This window comes from Homo sapiens, chromosome 2 (assembly GCF_000001405.40).
Source record: "Homo sapiens chromosome 2, GRCh38.p14 Primary Assembly".
NCBI lineage: Eukaryota > Metazoa > Chordata > Mammalia > Primates > Hominidae > Homo > Homo sapiens.
The window spans coordinates 112,977,763-112,999,633 of record NC_000002.12 but is presented as its reverse complement, the minus strand read 5'-3'; the positions used below and the strand labels follow the sequence as shown (position 1 = coordinate 112,999,633).

General features: G+C 39.7%; 1 protein-coding gene and 2 pseudogenes across 2 annotated transcripts, besides 1 other annotated feature; 1 reads left to right on the top strand and 2 right to left on the bottom strand.

The window, feature by feature from the left end:
* Positions 2,658 to 2,817: an enhancer, noted in NCBI's record as "active region_16409". NCBI's record gives its function as "activates an Ori minimal core promoter by ATAC-STARR-seq in GM12878 lymphoblastoid cells {active_cell/tissue: GM12878}" and the evidence as "EXISTENCE:reporter gene assay evidence [ECO:0000049][PMID:35858748]".
* Positions 3,498 to 4,139, bottom strand: POLR2DP1 (POLR2D pseudogene 1; annotated as a pseudogene).
* On the bottom strand, positions 13,976 to 21,628 carry IL36G (interleukin 36 gamma). Of its 2 annotated transcripts, NM_019618.4 has the most exons (5): positions 21,556 to 21,628; positions 20,941 to 21,014; positions 20,309 to 20,413; positions 19,486 to 19,625; positions 13,976 to 14,794 (listed from the first exon to the last, which is right to left on the bottom strand). In NM_019618.4, the coding sequence occupies exons 2-5, from the start codon at positions 20,993 to 20,995 to the stop codon at positions 14,585 to 14,587; spliced, it is 510 nt and encodes a 169-aa protein (NP_062564.1). In that variant the 5' UTR covers positions 20,996 to 21,014; positions 21,556 to 21,628; the 3' UTR covers positions 13,976 to 14,584. The 2 variants fall into 2 exon arrangements, with proteins under 2 accessions (NP_062564.1, NP_001265497.1); NM_001278568.2 differs by lacking the exon at positions 20,309 to 20,413.
* On the top strand, positions 18,091 to 18,667 carry HMGN2P23 (high mobility group nucleosomal binding domain 2 pseudogene 23; annotated as a pseudogene).
* Positions 21,629 to 21,871: the final 243 nt, after the last annotated feature.

Here is a 21,871-nt window from a genome sequence, read left to right as displayed (position 1 = left end):
GGAGAAAAAAGATGATGAGAACAAACTGTTGGCCCAACTATAGAAATGGGTGCTGTAGTCCATTCACTAACATTCCTCTGCTAAGTTTCCCTTCAGGTAGACACCCATGGGAGGCATGGATGATCTGCTCCCAAACATACGTAGAGGATGGGGTCCATGCAGCACAAGAGTGGATTGTGAGCATGGAGGTGTGACTCTCAGACTTCCCTTTAAAAGAACCTGTTACAAGGAGAACAGTTGGAAGACAACCTCAGCTGCTGCAATTTTGGATTCATGGCAGTGCTCCTGCCAAGAACACTCTTTTCTTGGGCTGCTCCCAGCCAGTGATGGCAGTCTTTCCTACTGATGTGGAATGCCTCTGCAGCCAAGTTTTGCTCTAGGGCTCCCCAATGTGCCAGGTTGAGACTTTCTCAGAGCTTCACAGGTGCACTGCAGTCTGACGCTCTTCCTACCCACTCCTCCTTCCTTCTCTCTCTCTCTCTCTCTTTTTTTTTTTTTTTTTTGACAGAGTCTCAAGATGCTCTGTTGCCCAGGCTGGAGTGCAGTAGCATGATCTCGGCTCACTGCAGCCTCTTCCACCTGGGTTCCAGTGATTCTCCTTCCTCAGACTCCCAAGTAGCTGGGACTATAGGCACGTGCCACCATGGCTGGCTAATTTTTGTATTTTTAGTAGAGGTGGGGTTTCACTGTGTTGGCCAGGCTGGTCTCGAACTCCTGACCTCAAGTGATCTGCCTGCCTTGGCCTCCCAAAGTGCTGAGATTATAGGTGTGAGCCACCGCACCTGGCCTTTCCTTCTCTCTTTTCTATCATTGGTGTCAGTCCTGCCTCACAGTCTGAATGCTCTCCCTACCTACTCCTGATCCCTCTTTTTTGGCCTTCAGGCATGTCTCCCATTAAATCTCTTAACATCTTCTCATCAAAGCACCCAAACTGACATGACATATCACCATGAATCCCAAGAATGTGAATAAGCAAGATGTAAAAGAATACATACAGTATTATTTCATTTATATAAAGTTTAAAGCATAAACAATATCTATTTTAGGGGCATATACATAGATGGTAAAACTATAACAAAATTTAAGAGAATAGTTACCATCAAATTTAGGATGACAATTACATCTGTGGGGAGGAAGAGAAGAGGATAGAATAGAGGATGGGCATACAGTTCTTCCAAAGTTCCTAGTTCTGTTTATTCATCTGGGTGAGTTTATATAGGTCTCTTTTGTTTAGACCTTAGATATATTTGTTACAAATATTCCTTCTTACCTACTCAGTATTTCTTTTACACCATAGAAAGAAAATGGATTATAAAGCAACTTCCTGGATTTCCTGGAGATGATCAGGACAATACAACAATAAGTATTCTTGTTTATTGTCTTTTAACTGTTTTTGATATTTACCTCCATATTTATTTGAGTTTATTTCTATTCTTTATTGAGTGTTTAATCTCATTACTTCATTAAATTCTTAGAGAACCTTTTTTAAAAGCCATATGTAAATCTAAATAAAACAAAATAAGCTAAAATAATAAATATTTAAAAGGCAGAAATAAATCAGACATCAGTAATAAAGATGAAAAAATAAAGCCAGTTATATGAGAAAGCCAGAAAGTCTTTTATCTAAATCTTACAGAAGGAAAAAGTAAAATAAAATCCTTTATGACCATTTTAAGTGTAAAAATACTATATTAAAATTTAAAGACATGGACCCACGAAGAACGAAAACACATAGTCCCTCTCCATAGACTTGGATTCCAATCCAAGGCAATGTCAGAGCAAGGTCCCACAGGCAGAATGATGGTTCATCCTTCCAGTGCAGAAAAGGAGGGTTGCTTTCTCAGTCTATGGCCTCCAACCCATTGGTAAAATTGACAATCACAATTTGCTTAAAACAGAAAGAGTATTAATAACAAAAGTAAACTATCTTAAATTCAAATATCAAGGGGTAGACCACTTACTTGAAAATAGTTCACTCAAAGACCATGAACACAGCCTGAGTTTTCCATATAGTCCAACAATGAATTTTTTCATCATTCCTCTTGGCTCTGCTATTTTCATCTCCAGAAACAAAAGCTTCACATAAACATAGTCTGTTTTCTCAGGCTTCAAAGTCTTGTTACAAAACAGAATAGTCATTATTTCCTGCTGCTCAGAGAAAACCAGTTTTTACTCTTTTAATTGTTTTTGATATTTACCTCCATTTTTCAAAGTACTATGAGTGTGGTGCTATTTCTCGATTTTTCTGTTTGAGCCATTATGTGTTAACATCCTTCCATGGAAAATAGTTTTAATTGTCATACACAACTCATCTAACTCCCTACTACATAAACACACACACACACACACACACACACACACACACTCATTCATCCATGCATCCTTCCAAAATATTTACATCATGATTTTGGATAGCATATACACTATTATTGCAATATAAACATTACTGACAATTAAGCTATATAGTAAATTATGATTACATTTTGTCTCCTGAATAACTTAATTTTTTCTCTAGAATTAAGAACTGCTGGTGGGGGCCAAGATGACCAATGAGAAGCAGCTGCAGTGTGTGGCACTCATGGAAAATAACAAAAAGGGGTGAGTAAATACAGCACCTTCAACTGATATATCCAGGTACTCGCATTGGGACTGATCAGGGAAACAACTCGACCCACAGAGAACAAAGGAAAGCAGGGCGAGGTGACAGTCCTCCTGTTAGCGACAGAGAGCCAAGGGACTCCCCAGCACCCCGCCAAGGGAAGCAGGAAACCACACTTCTCCCATGAATCTTTGCAACCCTCAGATCAGGAGGTGGAGTGAGCGCACATTACCAGGACCTGGGGTCTGACACAGAGCTGCTTGAAGTCTCTGAACAGCAGCTGCTCAGGCATGCACAGAGGCCCAGGAACTTTACATACTCCTCAGGCCAGGTGCAGTGGCTCACACCTGTAATCTCAGCAGTTTGGGAGGATAAGACAGGAGGATCACTTGAGGCCAGGAGTTTAAGACCAGTCTGGGCAACATAGTGAGACACACCCTCTATTTAAAATAAAATAAAATAAAATTTTTTTTAATTAGCCAAGAGTGGTGGTGCACAACTGCGGCCCCAGCCATTTGGGAGGCTGAGGCAGGAGGATTTTTTGATCCCAGAAGGTTGCAGTGAGCCATGATTGCACCATTGCACTCCTCCAGCCTGGGCAATAGAGTTAAGACCCTATCTCCAAAAAAAAAAAAAAAAGTCTCAAACAATAACAGTGGTTTAATTCTTCCTTTGGCATCTAGATAAAACTGGTCTTTCTCTATAAAGTCTACTATGTTCTGGTCTAGTTTCAAAACGTATAAACACACTGAAATTAAAACATGAAGTATTAAGAATACAAGATAACGTGGGGGCCAAAAGTCATGAATGAGGGAGTCAACAGTGTGGCTAATATGACACCCCCTCCCACCCGAGCCACCTCACACTTCCCAGGGCACACTCAGGAAGCCACTGGCAGCCACTGCACAAGGCTGCTCCAAGATTACATGTCACCTGGACCTACGAATTATTTGAAACAGCAACCTAACCCAACAGCAAGTTGGGCTGTTTTCTCCAAAGGAATTCCCAACTGTCTTCTACAATGAAATGTCTATGCAAATCAGCCCCAGACCCTGTGGGGCCATAGTTTCTCCAAGCAGCAGTGATGTTTAGGGATTAATACTGAAAGCTGTGCTTTGTCTGGATATCATCAAGAACCTGCTGCAGCTCCTCATCTTCAAACCACCCCTCCAAGTTTGGGATTAGAGCCTTGGACTCCTCAGCAGTCTCTGGGCAAAGGTTGGCCAAACAGACCAACTCAAATTTATGAAGGTTTTTCTAGAGCTACGAACACTGGCAATGGTCTCTCTGTTTTCGAAACCACTGAAACGGCCTGTGTAGTTTCATTGTTTTCATGAAGACTTCTGAGAGTTCCTGTTCATCCTCTGCACTCTCGTTCTATTGCTTTCGATGTTCCAGAAGCATATGAACTTCTGAATTTAGAAGGGTCTCCGCTGTTTCAAACTCTTTAGGAAAAAGGAGCTGTGAAGTGTCCTCCTCTACATCGTCAGCCCGTGGATCGCTGCCGCCTGCTGCCATTGCCGTGCCGCGTGCCACCACCCACATCCTTGATTTCTTTTTATTGCTAAGTAGCATTGAATACACCACAACTTGTTTATCTATTCACTGCTTGATGGAAATTTCGGTTCTTTCCAATTTGGGGATATGAAAAATTTTATTTGAGGATGTGAACTTTTTATACAAGTCATTTTCCTTCAATTTGCTTTTAAATCACTCAAGAGAGAACAACTTTACAAAAGTAAATGTCAAAAAAAGCAGGAGGTATGTATTGTTACATATCTCTTTATTTCTATAGAAGCATATAGATCATTCCAAGCATGATTAATTTGTGTCTTTTTACACACAAAACTCCACTGGATGGTCCAGAAGAGTATTTCCCATGTTTACTTAGAAATTAGCACTCCCTAGGGTCTTTGGTAAAATATTAATTCTTAGGTCCCACCATAAACTTAGTAAGTTGCAATTTCTGGAGGAGGGGATTTTAATCTACTAGGCATGGAGCGAGCACAAGTGCCCTAGGTTTTCAGTGAATATCCAGATGATTCTAATGTAGTTTCAAGTTTGGGAAATACAGGTGTGCTGAACATTACTGTACTTGTGCCACTACGTAATGACATTTGCACAGGTGCTCCACCTTGGGTGACTCTACCCTGGGTAGGTCATTTGCTGACACCCTGCTAGATAGGGACAGCCCTAATGATGACATGTCTCAGACTTTGCTCTGCCATCTTGCTCAAGGTAATTGTTGCTGATTTCTCACAGCAACAGTCTAAGAAACAAAACAATATTTTATTGACATGTATTATTAATTATGACCATTGTTTTCAGCACTCTGTGGGCAGCATCTTCAGTCCCCATGCCCAGTTGTTAATGAATTATGAGACAAAGTCTTCCTGTCCAGATTCAGGAAACAGCCATTACCCTTCAGCAGTCCTGAGGTGAGAGGATATCAGCCCCAAAGCGACTTGACAGAGAAACAACCCGCTCACCTGTTTTATCTACAATTGTGAATCTCTGGTGGCATGGTTATAAGACTACTAATTCCGCCCCCGCCCCCAGAATCCCCCTTCTCCTAGTGCATCAGACCTTCTATAACACCAATTGCTAAAGGTCCAAAGAAAACAAATTATTCAATGAGTATTAGCCTAGAGCTTGTGCTTCTCAAATGCAGAAGTATTTGCTATAGCAATGTGTAAAAACTAGGTGTGGACCAGACTATTCACCTGAAAATGAAGATATTGCTCCTTGCAGGGATCCTCCATGATTTTGTAAACCATGGCATAATACACTATTTCTCACATGTGCTGGGTAAGGCAGGGAGCCCAGATCTGTGTTTTCTGGGTTCCACATGCTTTCTATGAGATTATTATAAATTGGTGTTTTCATTTTGGTTATACTCTGTCATCATAGCCTCTTCTGTATCACCAGAATGAACACCTTACCCTTGAGTCCAGCCACATGATGTCAGGACTCATATTTGAGCTTTTGTTTGAGCTCACATTTGTGCCAAGTGAAAGTCCAAGGTATCAGTGACTGAACAAACAAAGTTTTTCACAGTAGAGAAAAGAGGTGGGAATACCAAATCATCACACAGCCTGTAGCAGGATGGAGATGCTGTAACACTTACAACCATAATCATGTCACAAGCTAATGTGTCATCAGCTTTTAATTAATAATATAAATTGGCAGATGTAACAACCTGCCACTATTTATTAGCATAGCATGGATATATGAGTGAATATCCAATGACTAATTCTTCTATTGGATATTCCAGAATTAATTAACTTTAACACTTATTTTAGTGTTGATTTTTATAAAACTGCAATGCCAACATTATATTCAATTGAGGAAGAAAACTTTAGAGGAGAGTGGCAGAGGAAGGAGGAAAGTAGGACTTTGCATTAATCATCCCACACAGAAACATCAATTTGATCAACTATTCATGCACAAAAAAAATCACAAGAGCAAAGGAAACCAGGTGAGAGATCACAGTACTTGATTTTAGCATCATAATAATAACAGATACATTGAAGAGAATAGGAAGGACAGTTTTACATTACCCACATCACCCCTTCCCTAACCCCAGGCAGTGCAGTATAGAGAGAGACATTATCTCTTGGGGAAAGAAAAAGGAATTAAGAGTAAGACTTCACCTTGGAACTCAGTACCATGCCTGCCACAGTAAAACCCACCACAGGGCAAACAACTTGATCCCTACCACCAGACTTATACCTGTAGATGAAGCCTCTAGATCTACCCCAGCACCAGAGAGGAACCTGTGGCACCAGTGAGATGGACTTCAGTTTGGTACAAGTCACTGCCAGCAGTGGGCAGGCCATAGTGGCCATGGTGTTGAGCATGCCCTATGTAGTGCTGTGCTGGTCTCAGAGACTCTAAGCTTTGGATGTGACCCAGTGCTACCTCAGCCTCTGCTGCCAAAGGATTCTGGCCATTGTGATCCTGGACTTAGAGCAGCTCCTAGTGCTGCAATTGCTGAAATGGTCACAGGCTTAGGGACCTCCCCAGTCAAACTTCTCTGAATCTCTGGACAGGCTTACTGCTAAAGGAAGCTCCCCAACAAAGCCAGATTGCAAAGACTAGATTAGGTACTTACATCAATGCATGGACATCTACAAATGGCTACAAGAATCACAATAAATCAGGGAATGTTCACTTCACCAAGCAGACAAAATAAGGTGCCAGTGACTGACCCTGAAGAAATGGAGATGGAAGAACTGCCTGACAAGGAATTCAAGATACCTGTTTTAAGGAAGCTCAGCAAACTTCAAGAACATACCAAAAAACAATTCAAAATTTGGTCAGAGAAATTTAACAGAGATAATGAAATAACTTTCAAAAACTCAAATAGAAATTCTGGAGCTGAGAAAAAAAAAATTAAAAATACAATGAGACCATCCACAGTAGAACTGAACAACAAGAGGAAAAGAATCTGTGAATTCAAAGACAGGGTAATTCAAAATATACAGTCAGTGGAGAAAAGGGAATAAAAATAAATGAAGAAAGCTTATAAAACTTATGGAGTAACATCAAAAGAGCAAATGTATGGGTTACTGGTACTCAAGAGGGAGTAAAGAAAGAGAAAGGAATGGAATAACAATGGAAAACTTTCCAAACCTGGAGAAAGATATAAATATCCAAGTACAGGAAGGTCAAAGATCTCTAATCAAACTCAACCCAAACAAGACTACTCCACAACATATAATCATCAAACTGTCAAAGACAAAAAGAGTATCCTGAAAGTAGCAAGGGAAAAGAAGCAAATAACATATAATGGTCTCTATATGCCCAACAGCAAACTTCTCAACAGAAACCTCATAGGCCAGGAGAAAATGGAATTTTAAAATGCTGAAGGAAAAAAACGTGCCAACCAAGAATATTCTAGTCAGCAAAGCTGTCTTTCAAAAATGATGGAGAGATAAAGACTTTTCAGACACACAAAAACTGAGGGAATTCATCGCCACCAAACCTGTCTTACAAGAAATGCTAAAGGGAGTTCTGCAAGATGAAAAAAAAGATGCAAATGAGTAACACGAAAACATCTGAAAGAATATAACTCGTTGGTAAAAGTAGGTACATAGTCAAACTCTGAATACTCTATTAACATAATGGTGGTATGTAAATCACTTATATCTTTAGTATAAAAGGTTAAAAGACAAAACTATTATAAATAATAACTATAACAAGTTCTTAAAGAATATGCAACATAAAAAGATATAAGCTGTGACATCAAAAATTCAAAATGTTGAGAGAGGAGTTAAATTAAAAAGTAGAAATTTTTGCAATCAAATTTAAGTTGTCATCAGTTTTAAATAACCTGTTACAACCATAAAAAGTCTTTGTAAGTCTCATGGTAACCACAAAGCAAAAACCTATGCACTAAAAATAATAATTAGGAATCAAAACATACGACTAAAGAAAATTAGCCACAAAGGAAGATAGTAAGAGAGACAGAAAGCAAAAAAGGATCCACAAAACAACTAGAAAACATGTAACAAAATGGCAGGAGTAAGTTCTTACAATCAATAATTACCTTGAATATAAATGAACTACATTATCCAATGAAAAGTCATAAAGTAGCTGAATTTAAAAAAAAAAAAAAAAAACAAGGCCCAACTTACACAGCCAACAAGAAACCCACTTCATCTATAAGGATACATGTACAATGAAAGTGAAGGGATGGAAAAGATGTTCTACCCAAATGGAAACCAAAAGAGAGCAGAAGTAGCTATAGTTATATTGGATAAAATAGATTGTAAATTTAAAACTTAATTTTTATTTAAGTAAAAATGAGACAAAGGAGGTCATTATATAATGGCAAAGGGGTGAATTCAGCAAGGAAAATATTAATAGATCTAAAGAAAGGGATAGATTGCAATACAATAATTGTAAGGGATTTCAACACTTCACCTTCAGCAATGGAAAGATCATTCAGTCACAAAATTAACAAACATCAGATTTAAATGGCACTCTAGACAAAATAGACCTAACAGAAATTTACAAAAAACAATTGCATTTAACTGCTACAGAATACATATTCTTTTCAATTGCAACATGGAACATTCTTCAGAACAGAATATATGTTAGGCCACAAAACAAGTATTAACATATTTAAAAAGATTGAAATCATATCACATATCTTCTCTGACCACAGTGGTATAAAACTAGAAAGAATTAACAGGAGAAACCTGGTAAAATTTGCAAATACATGGAAATTAAACAACATGTTACTGAACAACCAATGGACCAATAAAGAAATTTAAAGGAAAATTTTAAAATGTCTTGAGAAAAATGAAAATGGAAACACAATATACCAAAACTTATGGAATACAGCATTAGCAGTCCTAAGAGGAATGTTTATGGTGATAAACACCTATATTTAAAAAGAAAGGACCCAAATAAGACTACCCAACAACATATAATCATCAAACTGTCAAAGACAAAAAGAGTATACAGCATTATATACTATATACTCTTATAAATAAACAATGTAATGTTGCATCTCAAGGAACTAGAAAAACAAGAAAAAACTAAACCTAAAATTAGTAGAAGAAAAAATAATAAAAATCAGAGCATAAATCAATAGAGACTAAAAAAGATCAACAAAATGAAGAGCTGATTTTTAAAAAGATAAATAAAATAAGCAAACTGTAAGCTAGACTAAGAAAAAAAGAATATTCAAATAAATAAAATCAGAAATGAAAAGGGAGATGTTAAAGCTGATACCACTGAAATACAAAGAATCATAGAGACTATTATGAACAATTATATGCCAACAAATTGGAAAACCTTGAAGAAATAGATAAATTCCTGGACACATAAAACCTACCACTATTGAAATATGAAGAAATAAAAAGACTGAACAGATCAATAGGGAAGGAGATTTAATTAGCAGTTTAAAACTCTTCCATCAAAGAAAACCCCAGGGCCTGATGGCTTCATTCCTTAATTCTATCAAGCATTTAGTGAAGAACTAACACCAAGCCTTTTCACACTATTTCACAAAGTTGAAGAGAGTGGAATTCTTTCAAACTCATTCCATAAGGCCAGCATCATCCTGATGTCAAAATCAGACCAGAACACCACCAAAAAGGAAAACTACAGACCAACATCGCTAATGAACATAGATGCAAAATTCCATAATAAACTACTAGCAAACCAAACTCAAATAGCACATTAAAAGGATTATTCACCATAGCCAATCATCCCAGGTATGCAAGGATGGTTCAATACACACAAATCAATAAATATAATATACCACGTTAACAAAATGAAAGAAAAAATATATAATCATTTCAAAAGACGCAGAAAAAAACATTTGACAAAATTCAACATCTCTTCATGATAAAAACTCTCAATGGATTAGGTATAGAAGGAATGTATCTGAACATAAGAAAGGCCATATACAACAAACCCATGGCTAACATCATACTGAATGGGGAAAAGTTTGAAGCTTTTATTCTAAGATTTGGAAGAAAAAAAGAATGCCCACTTTCACCACTTCTATTCAACATAGTACTGGAAGTCCTAGCCAGAGCCAGACAAAAGAAAGAAATAAAGGGCGTCCAAATTGGAAAGGAGAAAGTTAATTGTCCATGTTTGCTTTTGACATGCTCTTATACACTAAAAATCTTAAACATCGAAAAAAAACTGTTAGATCTAATAAACTAATTCAATAAAGTTGCAGGTTACAAAATCAACGTTCAAAAAACAGTAGCATTTTTTTTAACTTTAAGTTCTGGGATACACATGCAGATTTGTTACACACATGTGCCATGGTGGTTTGCCACACCTATCAATCCATCATCTAGGTTTTAAGCCCCACATTATGTATTTGTCCTAATGCTCTCCCTCCCTTTACCCCCCATCCCCTGACAGGCCCCAGTGCCTGATGTTCCCCTCCCTGTGTCTATGTGTTCTCATTGTTCAACTCCCACTTAAGAGTGAGAACATGTGGTGTTTGCTTTTCTGTTCCTGTGTTAGTTTGCTGAGAATAATGGTTTCCAGCTTCACCCATGTCCCTGCAAAGGACAGGAACTCATTCTTTTTATGGCTGCATAGTATTCCATGGTGTATATGTGCCACATTTTCTTTATCCAGTCTAACACTGATGGACATTTAAGTTAGTCCCAAGTCTTTGCTGAAAAAACAGTAGCATTTTTATACACTAATAGCAAACATTACTCTAAGCAAATTATTAAGCAAATGATTCTTTTTAAATCAAGTGATAAAGTAATTCTACAACATGAGATTTAATGGTGAAGACCTACTGCCAAGGCACTGGGAACACTGATGAATTAGTCATGGCTCCCACCACTGTGAACATGATACTAACAACAAGCTTTGTGTTAAATAAACATATGCCTCTATTATATATTTATTATATTTTAACCATGAGTCTTAATGGTTTGATGAAATGACATCAAGAAAAAATGAAATATGAGAGATTTTAGCATCATCATAACTAATGCAGCTAAACAGAGTTAATAAAGGTGTGGGCATTATTACACACTTAATTTAAAAAACAATCTCTAAACATAGTGGGTAAGATTATGATATATGCTATGATACAACATCAAAGTCTGAGGAAGATTTACCTAATTAAAGTAGACATTGTTTTGTCCCCAAAAAAGAAGGGAAACATGATTTAAAACAAATAAAGCTTTTTGTAGTCTCTTTTCATTTTTAATTCATGAAATAGGAAATTAATTTGCTTTGTGACAGAATTTTAAATGATTTTTGTCAAGACTACAAAAATTGCTTTACACTAAAAAATACTACGTCTTCTATGGGGTTGAGTGCCTTTGTGACAATTTGTAAAATATTAAAACAGAGACACACACATGCACCTTAGAGTATTAAAAGTCATTGTAGTAAATGCTATAATTGTCATTATTATTATAAAAAATAATAAATAAATGATGTTAGAAAAATTGGATATCCACACGCAGAAAAATAAAATTGACTCATCTCTCACCATATACAAAAATTAAGATGGATTAAATACTTAAACGTAAGACTTGAAACTATGAAACTACTAGAAGAAAACATAGGAGAAACATTGTCTGAGCAAGGATTTTTTGGATAAGACCTCAAAATCAAAGGCAAAAAACAAAATCAGAAATAAACAAATGTGTGACTATATCAAACAAGAGAGCTTCTGTATAGAAAAGGAAACAATCAACAGAGTGAAGAGACAACTTACAGAATGGGAGAAAATATTTTCAAACTATACATCTGACAAGGGGTAAATATCAAAAATACATAGCGAACTTAAACAACTCAGTTGCAAATAATAATAATAATAAATAAATAACCTGTTTGAAAAACAGGCAAAATACCTGAATAGACATTTCACAAAAAGAAAGACCAATAGATATATGAAAAAATGCTCAATATTCCTAATCAGAGAAATGCAAGTCAAAATCACAATGGCGTATCACTTTCCCCTAGTTAGAATGGCCATTATCAAAAAGACAAAAGATAAGTGCTGTCAATGTTGTGGAGAAAAGGAAGCTCTTAAACACCCTTGGGGGGCATTTAAATTAGTGCAGCCACTCTGAAAAACATTATAGAAGCTCAGAAAATTAAAAATAGAACTACCATATGATCCAGCAATCACACTATGCAAAGGAATTCAAATCTTTATGTCAAAGAGATATCTGCACTCCCATGTTTATTGTAGCACCATTCACAATAGCCAAGATATTGAGTCAACCTAAGTGTCCATCAACAGATGAGTAGATAAAGAAAATGTGGTACATACACATAATGGAATACTATTTAGCCATAAAAAGGGATTGAAATCCCACCAGTTGTGACGACATGGATGAACCTGGAGAACATTATGCTAAATGAAACAAGCCAGGCACAGAAAGACAAATACCACATGATCTCACTCATATGTGAAATTTTAAAAAAAGTAGATCTCATAGAGGTAGAAAGTAGAATGGTAGTTACCAGAGGCTAGTGTAGTTAGCCAGGAGGAGGGATGGGGGGATGTTAGCCAAGGGCTACATAATTACAGTTATGTAGGAGGAATAACTTTCAAGAGACCTATTTTACAGCAAGGAGACTATAGTAAATGATGATATATTCTCTCAAAAAATGTAGAGAGTGGATGTTACGTGCTCTCACCACAAAAAATGATAACCATGTGAGGCAGTACATTTGTTAATTAGCTAGATTTAACCATTCCACAAATGTATATGTACTTCAAAACATCATGTGGTACCCAATAAAAACATACACTGTTATCTGTCAATTTAAAAAGATATGTAAAAATTGAGCTTTAAAAATTATTTTTAAATGTTTAATTAAAAATAACCCCCCAAAAAGAAAAAGTTAAAGAATAAAGAGGTATCACATTAAATCCATGCTTGCTGATTGCTTATTGTAATTGTTAGTAGTGGATGCAGTCTGATTGCCCAAAAGTAGAAAAAAAAATAAGTTGCTATGCTATTTTGAAGAATGTACTTAAGCAAACAGAATGTTCTGCATTTTCAGTGTTAGAGTAAAAATAAAGAAATCTATTATATACAGAATCAGATCTGAGGTATATATTTCTACAATTATACCCACAGTGAGTGTGTTAGGTCGTTCTTTCATGGTTGTAAAGAAATAGCCAAGACTGGGTAATTTATTAAGAAAAGAGGTTTAATTAGCTCACAGTTCTGTTCTGCAGGCTTTACAGGAAGCTTGGTATTGGTATCTGTTTGGCGTCTAGGGAGGCCTCAGGAAGCTTCCAATCATGGCAGAGGGTGAAGGGGGAGCAGGTACATCACATGGCAAAAGCAGGAGCAACAGAGAGAGTGAGGGTGGAGGTGCCACACACTTTTAAACAACCAGATCTTGTGAGAACCCACTCACTATGGTGAGGACAGCATCAAGCCACAAGTGATCCACCCCCATGACCAAAACACCTCCCACCAGGCTCCACCTTCAACACTGGGGATTACATTTCAACATGAGATTTGGACGAGGACAAACATGCAAACTATATCAGTCAGTTATTTAATTTCGTCAGAATATATCTTCTAAAGGTGGCTGTTGGGAAAGCAAGGCTTTCTCTTCCAAGAAGAAAAAAAAGACATCTTTACTGAAGTTTTTGAAAAAAGTATGTGAATGGTGAGATGGTCTAAAAGGAAAAGACTAGAGGAAGCAGGGAAAAACCAAGGCTATTCGACCATAAAGAAAGGAGCCAAACAGCAGAGCCCTGTTACATACTGAATTTCTCACCCCCACCCCATCACTATCCACCAAGGAAGGCCCTTTTGTCCCCAGCTAAGCCCCAGTCCCAGGTTTACCCACTGCAATGGCTTTATTCAACTACTCTTGCTAATTTCAGTTTACTCTTTCTTTATTTTATATCAGTTTTAGCTTTATTATTATATAAATACACAAAGTTTATTTAACTTTAAGATTACACATTACAATTAGGACAAAAATGATTTAACTTAACACAAGAATTATTTTTGTTTACAAGGTCTTAATGCTAAGAAGGTTCTATTACACACAATGAGGTATATTGGCAACATATAAAGACTGGATGATATCATCCCAAGAGGGAATAAAGCAAAACAGAAACAGAGATCAGCTCTGTGCTAGTCATGCCATCGTGGGTAACGCGCATGAGCTCTGAAGCATCTTCATACCCACCCCTAGAAGAAAGCTCAGTGTTTGGTCTTTGAGTCTTAAAGTCACTCATGCAGATGCCTTGTGGCCTACACAGCACCAGCTTGAGAGGACAGCCTTATACCACCCAGCTCTCCTGCTTCTGAGGCCACATCCTGTTCTTCAGTTGCTATGAAGTAATTGCTTCTTCTTCATTATAAAATGAGATGATAACAGCAGCCTTGCCCCTGTCTCAGCACCAGCGTGAAAATGACACTAAGAAAATGTAGACGAAAACACATTGGGAACCAGAAACTTTAAGACAAAGACCAAGCTGCCACCTCTAGGCTGAGTTCAGTCATTTATATTTAATTCAAAGGCAGTGTTGTATGACTTCCCAAGTTCTGAAGTCAGAATGATGGGCTGGTCTCTCTTGGAGGAGGCAATGAACCAGTCCGGGAAGGCCACAGACTCAAGGGTGGAGGTCCTACCAGTCTTGGCACGGTAGAAAAGGAAGGGTTTCACGGGCTCGGGTTGGCCATACAGATCCATGATCTTCTGCTCCTGAAATGTCAGAACAAGTACCCATTAGGAGAAACAGAAGCTGTTTGAGATATTCAAGGTTATTCATAATAATTCAATAAATGTTCCAAAGTTCCAGAAAACCTTATCCATCTATTAGAGCAGGCCTAGAGAAACACACATTTTGAAGGAGCAGCAGAGTAAACATACATGAAATTTTACCTTCCAAGCCCCCACCCTCAAATCCAGAGATGGTGTAGGAAGTTTACAAGGGAGAGTTTAATGAACAAGCAGCCACACTTGAACAACAAGTTAGAACTCTTCTCACACAAGAGGCTGAGGTGACCCTTAGGAAGAGGAAGAAATTGGAAATTACCTCCCTTACCAATACCACAACAGTGAGAGTCACTACCCTGCAAGAACCACCGGCGTGACAAAGGACAGCCAGGTTAGGGTATGAATTTCTGACTAATTGCCACATATATGAGAAAGATAAATACCAATGAAAAAGACCCAAGAGGGTCTAACAAATCAAAGGATTTGTATCAAAGGAAGAAGGTAAATAGAGCAATCAAAAAATGCCTTCTATATTGTATATGGAACTATATTCTGTATGTCTATATATTTGTATGTACATGCATTGTATATTTAGGTAAAATAAGTATTTCTAAGTAAATTGCAAGTGTTCAAGATCTCAAGAGAGACACAGAAATGATCTGTAATTCAGCCACATTCCACCCTGAGTGAGAAGTTCTTCTCCCACAGGATTCCTTTACTCAATTAATGGCTTCCAGTTAATCTGATTCTTTGGGTGGCCAGAAACCTAGGAGTCATTATTGACATTTCTTTTTTTGATCCCCTAACATCTAACCCAGGAGCAAGGCCTGTGGACTCTATTTCCAAAATACCAAAATATTTCCTGAATCGAGTCACTTCTTGCACTCCACACATGGCATCAACCCCAATCCAGGCCATCACTCTCTCACCTGGACAATTAGGGTGACCTTCTAAATGTTCTCCTTGAACCTACTCTATTCTCTAATAATCATTCTCCATAAGGCAGGTAAGTGAACTTTAAACTGAAGTAAATAAATAAGATTATGATACCCTTTTGCATGATTTTCTATTGTTATTACAGTGAAACTCCTCGGCAAAGCCCACAGGGTCTACGCCACCCAGCTCCTGCCTACCTGCTGCCCTGCCTTCTTACCACTCTCCTGCATGCTCATTCTGCCCCCACCAACCTGTCTTCTTCTTTGCCTTCCAAGACACCAAGCTGTTCCCACCCAAGGTCCTGGCACTTACTCTCCCTGCACCTCACACCAGCCCCACATCTTCCCAAGGCCAGCTGCTCCCCATCACCTGGGTCTCCTCCTTGGGGAGAACTTTACTGAACATTCCATCCCAGCCAAAATCGGTTTGGAATCCTCCCTCCTACTCATTGCGATCATATTCCTGAGTTATTTTCTTCATTAGTACCAACTGCTATCTAAACTTAGCGTATTTATTCATCAATCCCAGAATGATTGTTAGACTTGTTCATCACTGTATTCCTCAACACAGAGGAAAGCCCCCAGCATTCTACTCAACAGAGATTTGCTGTTTAATAAATGGAAGAATGCTTCCTCCTTTGAAACTCCCATACCTCCTCCATCATCACCTTCAACTTCCTACCCACTGAGAAAATTGAAGTAATTAGAAGACAACTTGTACAAACCACACCATAACATGGGCTCCCAGCACATGGCACCCATATCTGCACCTCCCTGCTTGAGGAGGACTGGGTGAAAGGTCCTATCTGCACTTGCAACTTAAGGACATCCCTCTAGCCGTTCTCCCTGCTCTCTTGTGCTCCATCAATTTTGCTTGCTCTTCTTAGTCATTCCCATCAGCATATTTGCTGTCATTTCTACCATCTTAAACAAAATAACTACTTTGCTTACCCACCACCGCCACCAGTTCCACTTTGCAGAAAACTTCCTGCAATCGCTGTCCATATCTGCTGTCTCTGATCCCTTTCTTGTAATTCCTCCCTTTAAACTTACTCCATCCAGGCTTTTGCCCCCACTACAGCACCAACACTGCTCCTGCCAAGGTCCCCAAAGACCCACACATTGCCAAACGCAACAGTCAATTCTTAGTCCCCATCTGAGAACAAACGCACAACATAAGGGTGACTTAGCTGACAGGACAAAGTAGCAAATGTCATTCTCAGTCCTGACTTTATTGATCACACTCACAATCCTGTTTCCTCCACTTAAAATACTACCAGAATCTGACTCACTGCTCCCCACCTCTGCTGCTATCTCCTGGCCCATCAAATCACACCTAGACCACCTCAAAGTCTCCTGAAGGACTTTCACCTTTGCCCGCCACAGTCTAAGATCTCCAGAGAGATCCTTTTTAGACCTAAGCCCCTTCACGCCATTCCTCTGTTCAAAACATTCTAATATTTCCCATTTCACTCAGATTGCAAGGCTGAGTCCTTGCAAAGGACAAGACTTTCATGTCTGCCTTTATCTCTCTGGACTCATTCCTCAATTCACTCCTGCACACCGGTCCTCACTGGTCCTGGGACGTGCCCTCACTAGACACCTGCTAACTAACTTCCCTAGCTCTTTCTACTCCCTGCTAACATCTCACCTAGGCAATGATGCCTATTGCACTATTCACCACTGCAGCCTGACGCCGCCTGTGTTCCTGGTACTGCTGGTCTATCTATCCTGCTGTAACCATTTTTATTTTTCTAGGAGAGGTAAAGACCTCTAACATAGCACAAATTTGCCTACTATTACATTTATTGTTTGCCATTTCTCTCCTTTCACTAGAATCCAAGCCCCACATGGTCAGGGTTCTTTGCCATTCTGTGCACAGCTATATCTCAAGCATCTACGCAGTGCTAGAGGCCAGGAAGTACCCATACATGCGCTTAATTGAATTGGATTGAGTTGAATCAAACTGAATTAAACTGAAGTTTGTGGAACGAGGACAAACAGTCATTAAAAAATAAAAAAAGAACAAACCAGAGAGCTTGGGAATTAAAAGAGTAAAGATTGAAATTTCAGGAAATGCTATAAAAGGATGATTTCCAGAAGGGACAACACTGAAAATGTAACCATGAGCTGGCAGAGCAAAGCAAGAAATTCTTCCAGATGCAACACCAAAATTTTAAAAAGCAATGAAGGGATAGAAAGTATAAAAAATTAGATGAGATATCGTGAGATATTGAAGTGAGATTCATAACTTCCAACGATGGATGAATAGGAATTCCAAAAGGAAAATAAGGGTGAGAATATACTTGAAGAAATGATGGCCAAGAATATATCAAAGGTTAAGAAAGACAGAGCAGTGTGAAGAAGAGGCAAGAACAGCCCCCAGACTGACCAAAACCCGCACAATGCTGCATCCTGCATCCAGTGCCTATATCCCGCTGGGGTGGCCACCACCATGCCCAGGAGAAAGGCTGAAGGGGATGCTGAAGGAGATAAGCCAAGGTGAAGGACGAACCACAGAGAAGGCCCGCAAAGTTGTCTGCTAAACCTGCTCCTCCAAATCCAGAGGCCAAGCCTAAAAATGCCCCTGCAAAGAAGGGAGAGAAGGTACCCAAAGGGAAAAAGGGAAAAGCTGATGCTGGCAAGGAGGGGAATAACTCTGCAGAAAATAGAGATGCCAAAACAGGGAAGGCACAGAAAGCTGAAGGTGCTGCAGATGCCAAGTGTAGTGTGTGCATTTTTGATAACTGTGTACTTCTGGTGACTGTACAGTTTGAAAAACTATTTTTTATCAAGTTTTATAAAAATGCAGAATTTTGTTTTACTTTTCTTTTTAAGCTATGTTGTTAGCACCCAGAACACTTCATTGTTGTTTTTAGGGGAAGGGGCATATGTCACTAATAGAATGTCTCCAAAGCTGGATCGATGTGGGGAAAACACCTTTCCCTTCTAGTTTTGAGAGAGTTCCTCTTGGCTCCCAGGAGGAGGGATTCTCTGACTTTGACACACATGGCCACCTTGGCAGAAAAGCCTTGTGGTATGGAAAATAAATTCATTTTTATGTCCTCTTCTCCCTTTCCATCTTTCAGCATAGATTTAACTCCTTTAAGCCAGACATCTGTTGGGACCTGGCCCTCAATCATTGGTTACCAGTATGTCAGGCACTCTGGACTTTCCAGTGATGCCACTGAGATGGCACCTGTCAAAAGAGCAGTGGTTCTGTTTCTAGATCGTGGATCTTCAGATAAATTCTACCATTTTCATTTCACTTCCTGAAAGTCAGGGTTGGCTTGTGAAAAGTTTAAACCACATGCTAAATGTGAAATGTCAACTCTCACTCTAAACTCTCCCTGTTCAGAGCATCAGATGAAGACTTCATTGAGTTTTATAGTGGCTTTCTGATTTTTGGTAGTCCTTTGAACAAGGGAGTTTGAAGTTTGCTGCATACTCTTAACAATTGTCTGCCCATATCCTGCCTGAAATACCATGAATGTTTATGGAAAGTATCTTTAATAAAGCTGGATGCAGTTTGGCTTGGAAAAAAAAAAAGCAAAACAAGGACCTTAACTACTGACAGCCAGAATAAAAAGAAAAGTGTATTGCATGCACATAACTTAAAAGAGGCTGGGAATAAATATGCTTAGGAAGATGAGACTATTTCTTTTTTAATTCTAAAATTAGGTATTCAACCAAACACTTCTAAAAGGAAAGGCTTTTTAAATATTTTTCTTAGCTACTCACTTTTAGCTGCAATGTGGGCTGTTCTCCAACCTTCTCACAATACAAACACATTTCTGGATTCTGGATTCCCAAATAAATGGGATCCCCTCTGCCTTGCTCAAGAGCCTCTGGATACTTGCATGTGATAACAGCAACAGTGACTGTAAAGATAAGAGGAGAGATGGTATCAGTTTCCTTTTGAAGTCAGAAAGATTATTTGATTTAGCAGGGCAGTATCCTCAAGTGGATCTGGAAGAGAGCTGAAGAGTGTAATCCCAACTAGACCCACCAAATGGCCAACCCCCATATTCATTCATTCATTCATTCATTCATACCATGTGCCAATCACTGCCCTAGTAAATGAGCAAACACAGAGAGCTAAGCAGACAACAGAGTATGCTCTTGAGATTCTCACGCCTCTGCTTGAGCACATGGAGATGGGGAGCTCCTACATCAAGCAGCCCCTCTGATTCTTGGAGAGCTTGGTCCCTTTTGCAAGTTTTTCCCAATGTGATGCTGAAACCTGCCTTTCTGTGGTATTCACCCATTTAGTCATTTTAGGACACCCTGAAGTCATGCAGAACAAGCTACTAGTCTTCCATAAGACAGGGCTTCAGATGACTGACAGCAGCTTTCCTATTCCCTTGGAGGCTCCTCCACCATCTCTGGCTTCTTCATCTTAGTGGAACCCAAAGTTCTCCCTGACTTCTCTTCCCAATTAGGTGTGAAATTCTCCCCACTCCTGGTGGGCCCCATTGTAAAGTCACACTTTTACAAAAGGCTGATGCCAGCTTCCCAGCCACAGCAGTGCAAACAGTGGGGAAGGCACAGGGTGACCACTCACCTGGGGTCACACTGTCACTTCGTGGAACTGCCACAAGGTTCTGACCCTGAAGGGTCCACACTTGCTGATTCAAATCATTAATAGTCCCAGTAATAGGTTTACACACTGATTTTGGGATAGAGAAAAAAATGAAGAAATATTATAATCAAGGCTGCTTTACTAGACCCAGGAGAAAAGTATCTAACCCAGGCCATTTTGTAAGGAAGGTGTGGGGTTTGCATCCCCAAACTGACAGCACTCACATCACCCATCAGCCTAGCCTTTCTTTCTAGTGAAGTTGTGAGCTCTGGTGAGGAAGGCAAGGGCTACCAAGGGAAGTCACTGGTTTAAGAGGGCAAACTATCAAGACAGAGGGCAATGAGCAGTCTCACAGAACCTGTGTGCCAAGGCCCAGCTACCCTCTTTTGTGCCTACTCTGTGCTTGGCCCCGGTGCTGGGGACTGGAGCTGGATCAGTGACTAAGCAATAGCTCCCACCCTCCAGAAGCCCAGGGCCCAGTGGTAGGTGGGCAGCACCAGGTGGGAAGGGCAGTGTACAGAGAGGAGCAGAGAAGGCTGGGGCTTCCACAGGAGATAGCGTGAGTGCAGAGGGCCTAAGCCTCCAGAGCCCCATCCCAACAGCATTTGATTCACTTGATTGATAGACGGCCCTTCCTCCACCATCAGCGTCTCCTGGAGTGCCTCTCATAGTGTGGTTGTCTCAGCACCTGTGAAAGCAGACATAGAACAGATGAACCACAAGAGATGTTTCCAAGACCTTCCAGGACACTAGCTCCACAGGCCCTCATTCTAGACAGGGAGCTGGGAAACCTGGCCTGACACGAAGCTCTGGGCAGAAGTTCTGAGCCACATCTGGGACGAAACTTGAAGGAAGCATCAGCAAAGGGAGAACAGGTAGAATTTTCCTCCACCTGGAGATCCAGATAGTATGGTAGTGTCTCCCCTAGGAGTTCGAAGGCCAGGCATAAAATTTGACCTTAAATAACCCACAGGCACCTGATGCCCTGACTCCTCTTCTCTGAAGCCTCCACCCCTTCATCGGCATTGTTTTTGCCTAGGAGCAGGGGAGGGTCCCATGCCAGGGCCACTCTGCCAGGATCCCAGCAACTCCCCAGTAAGAAGCAGCCACACATAGGACAAAGCACAGAGCCAGCCTGATGTGGCCCTTCCCTTCATTAAGCCCAAAGCACAGATGAGAGGAAAGGCTCCAGAGGGAGGGAGAAGAGGTTTTCCAGCTATTGACTATACCTGGCAAGAAAGGGTCTTTATCTACAGTCCAGGGGACTGAATCGTGGCTCCAGCAGCTTCCAAGGTCAGTGATGGGTTCTAATGGAGCCTGGATCATTTATCTGGATGAGCAGAGAAGGAGGCTCCAGCTTCCTGGGTGGGGCATGAGAAACGTATGACATGAAAGAAAACCAGCTCCTCCTACCAGAAGATCCTGTGAGGCTCGGAGGAAGAAATCACAGAATTAGCACAAGTATCACCTGTCCGGGCTCGCTGAGAAATAAGTGTTGAGCCAATCCGCACAAAATCAACCACAAGGAAATGAGGTTGATGACAG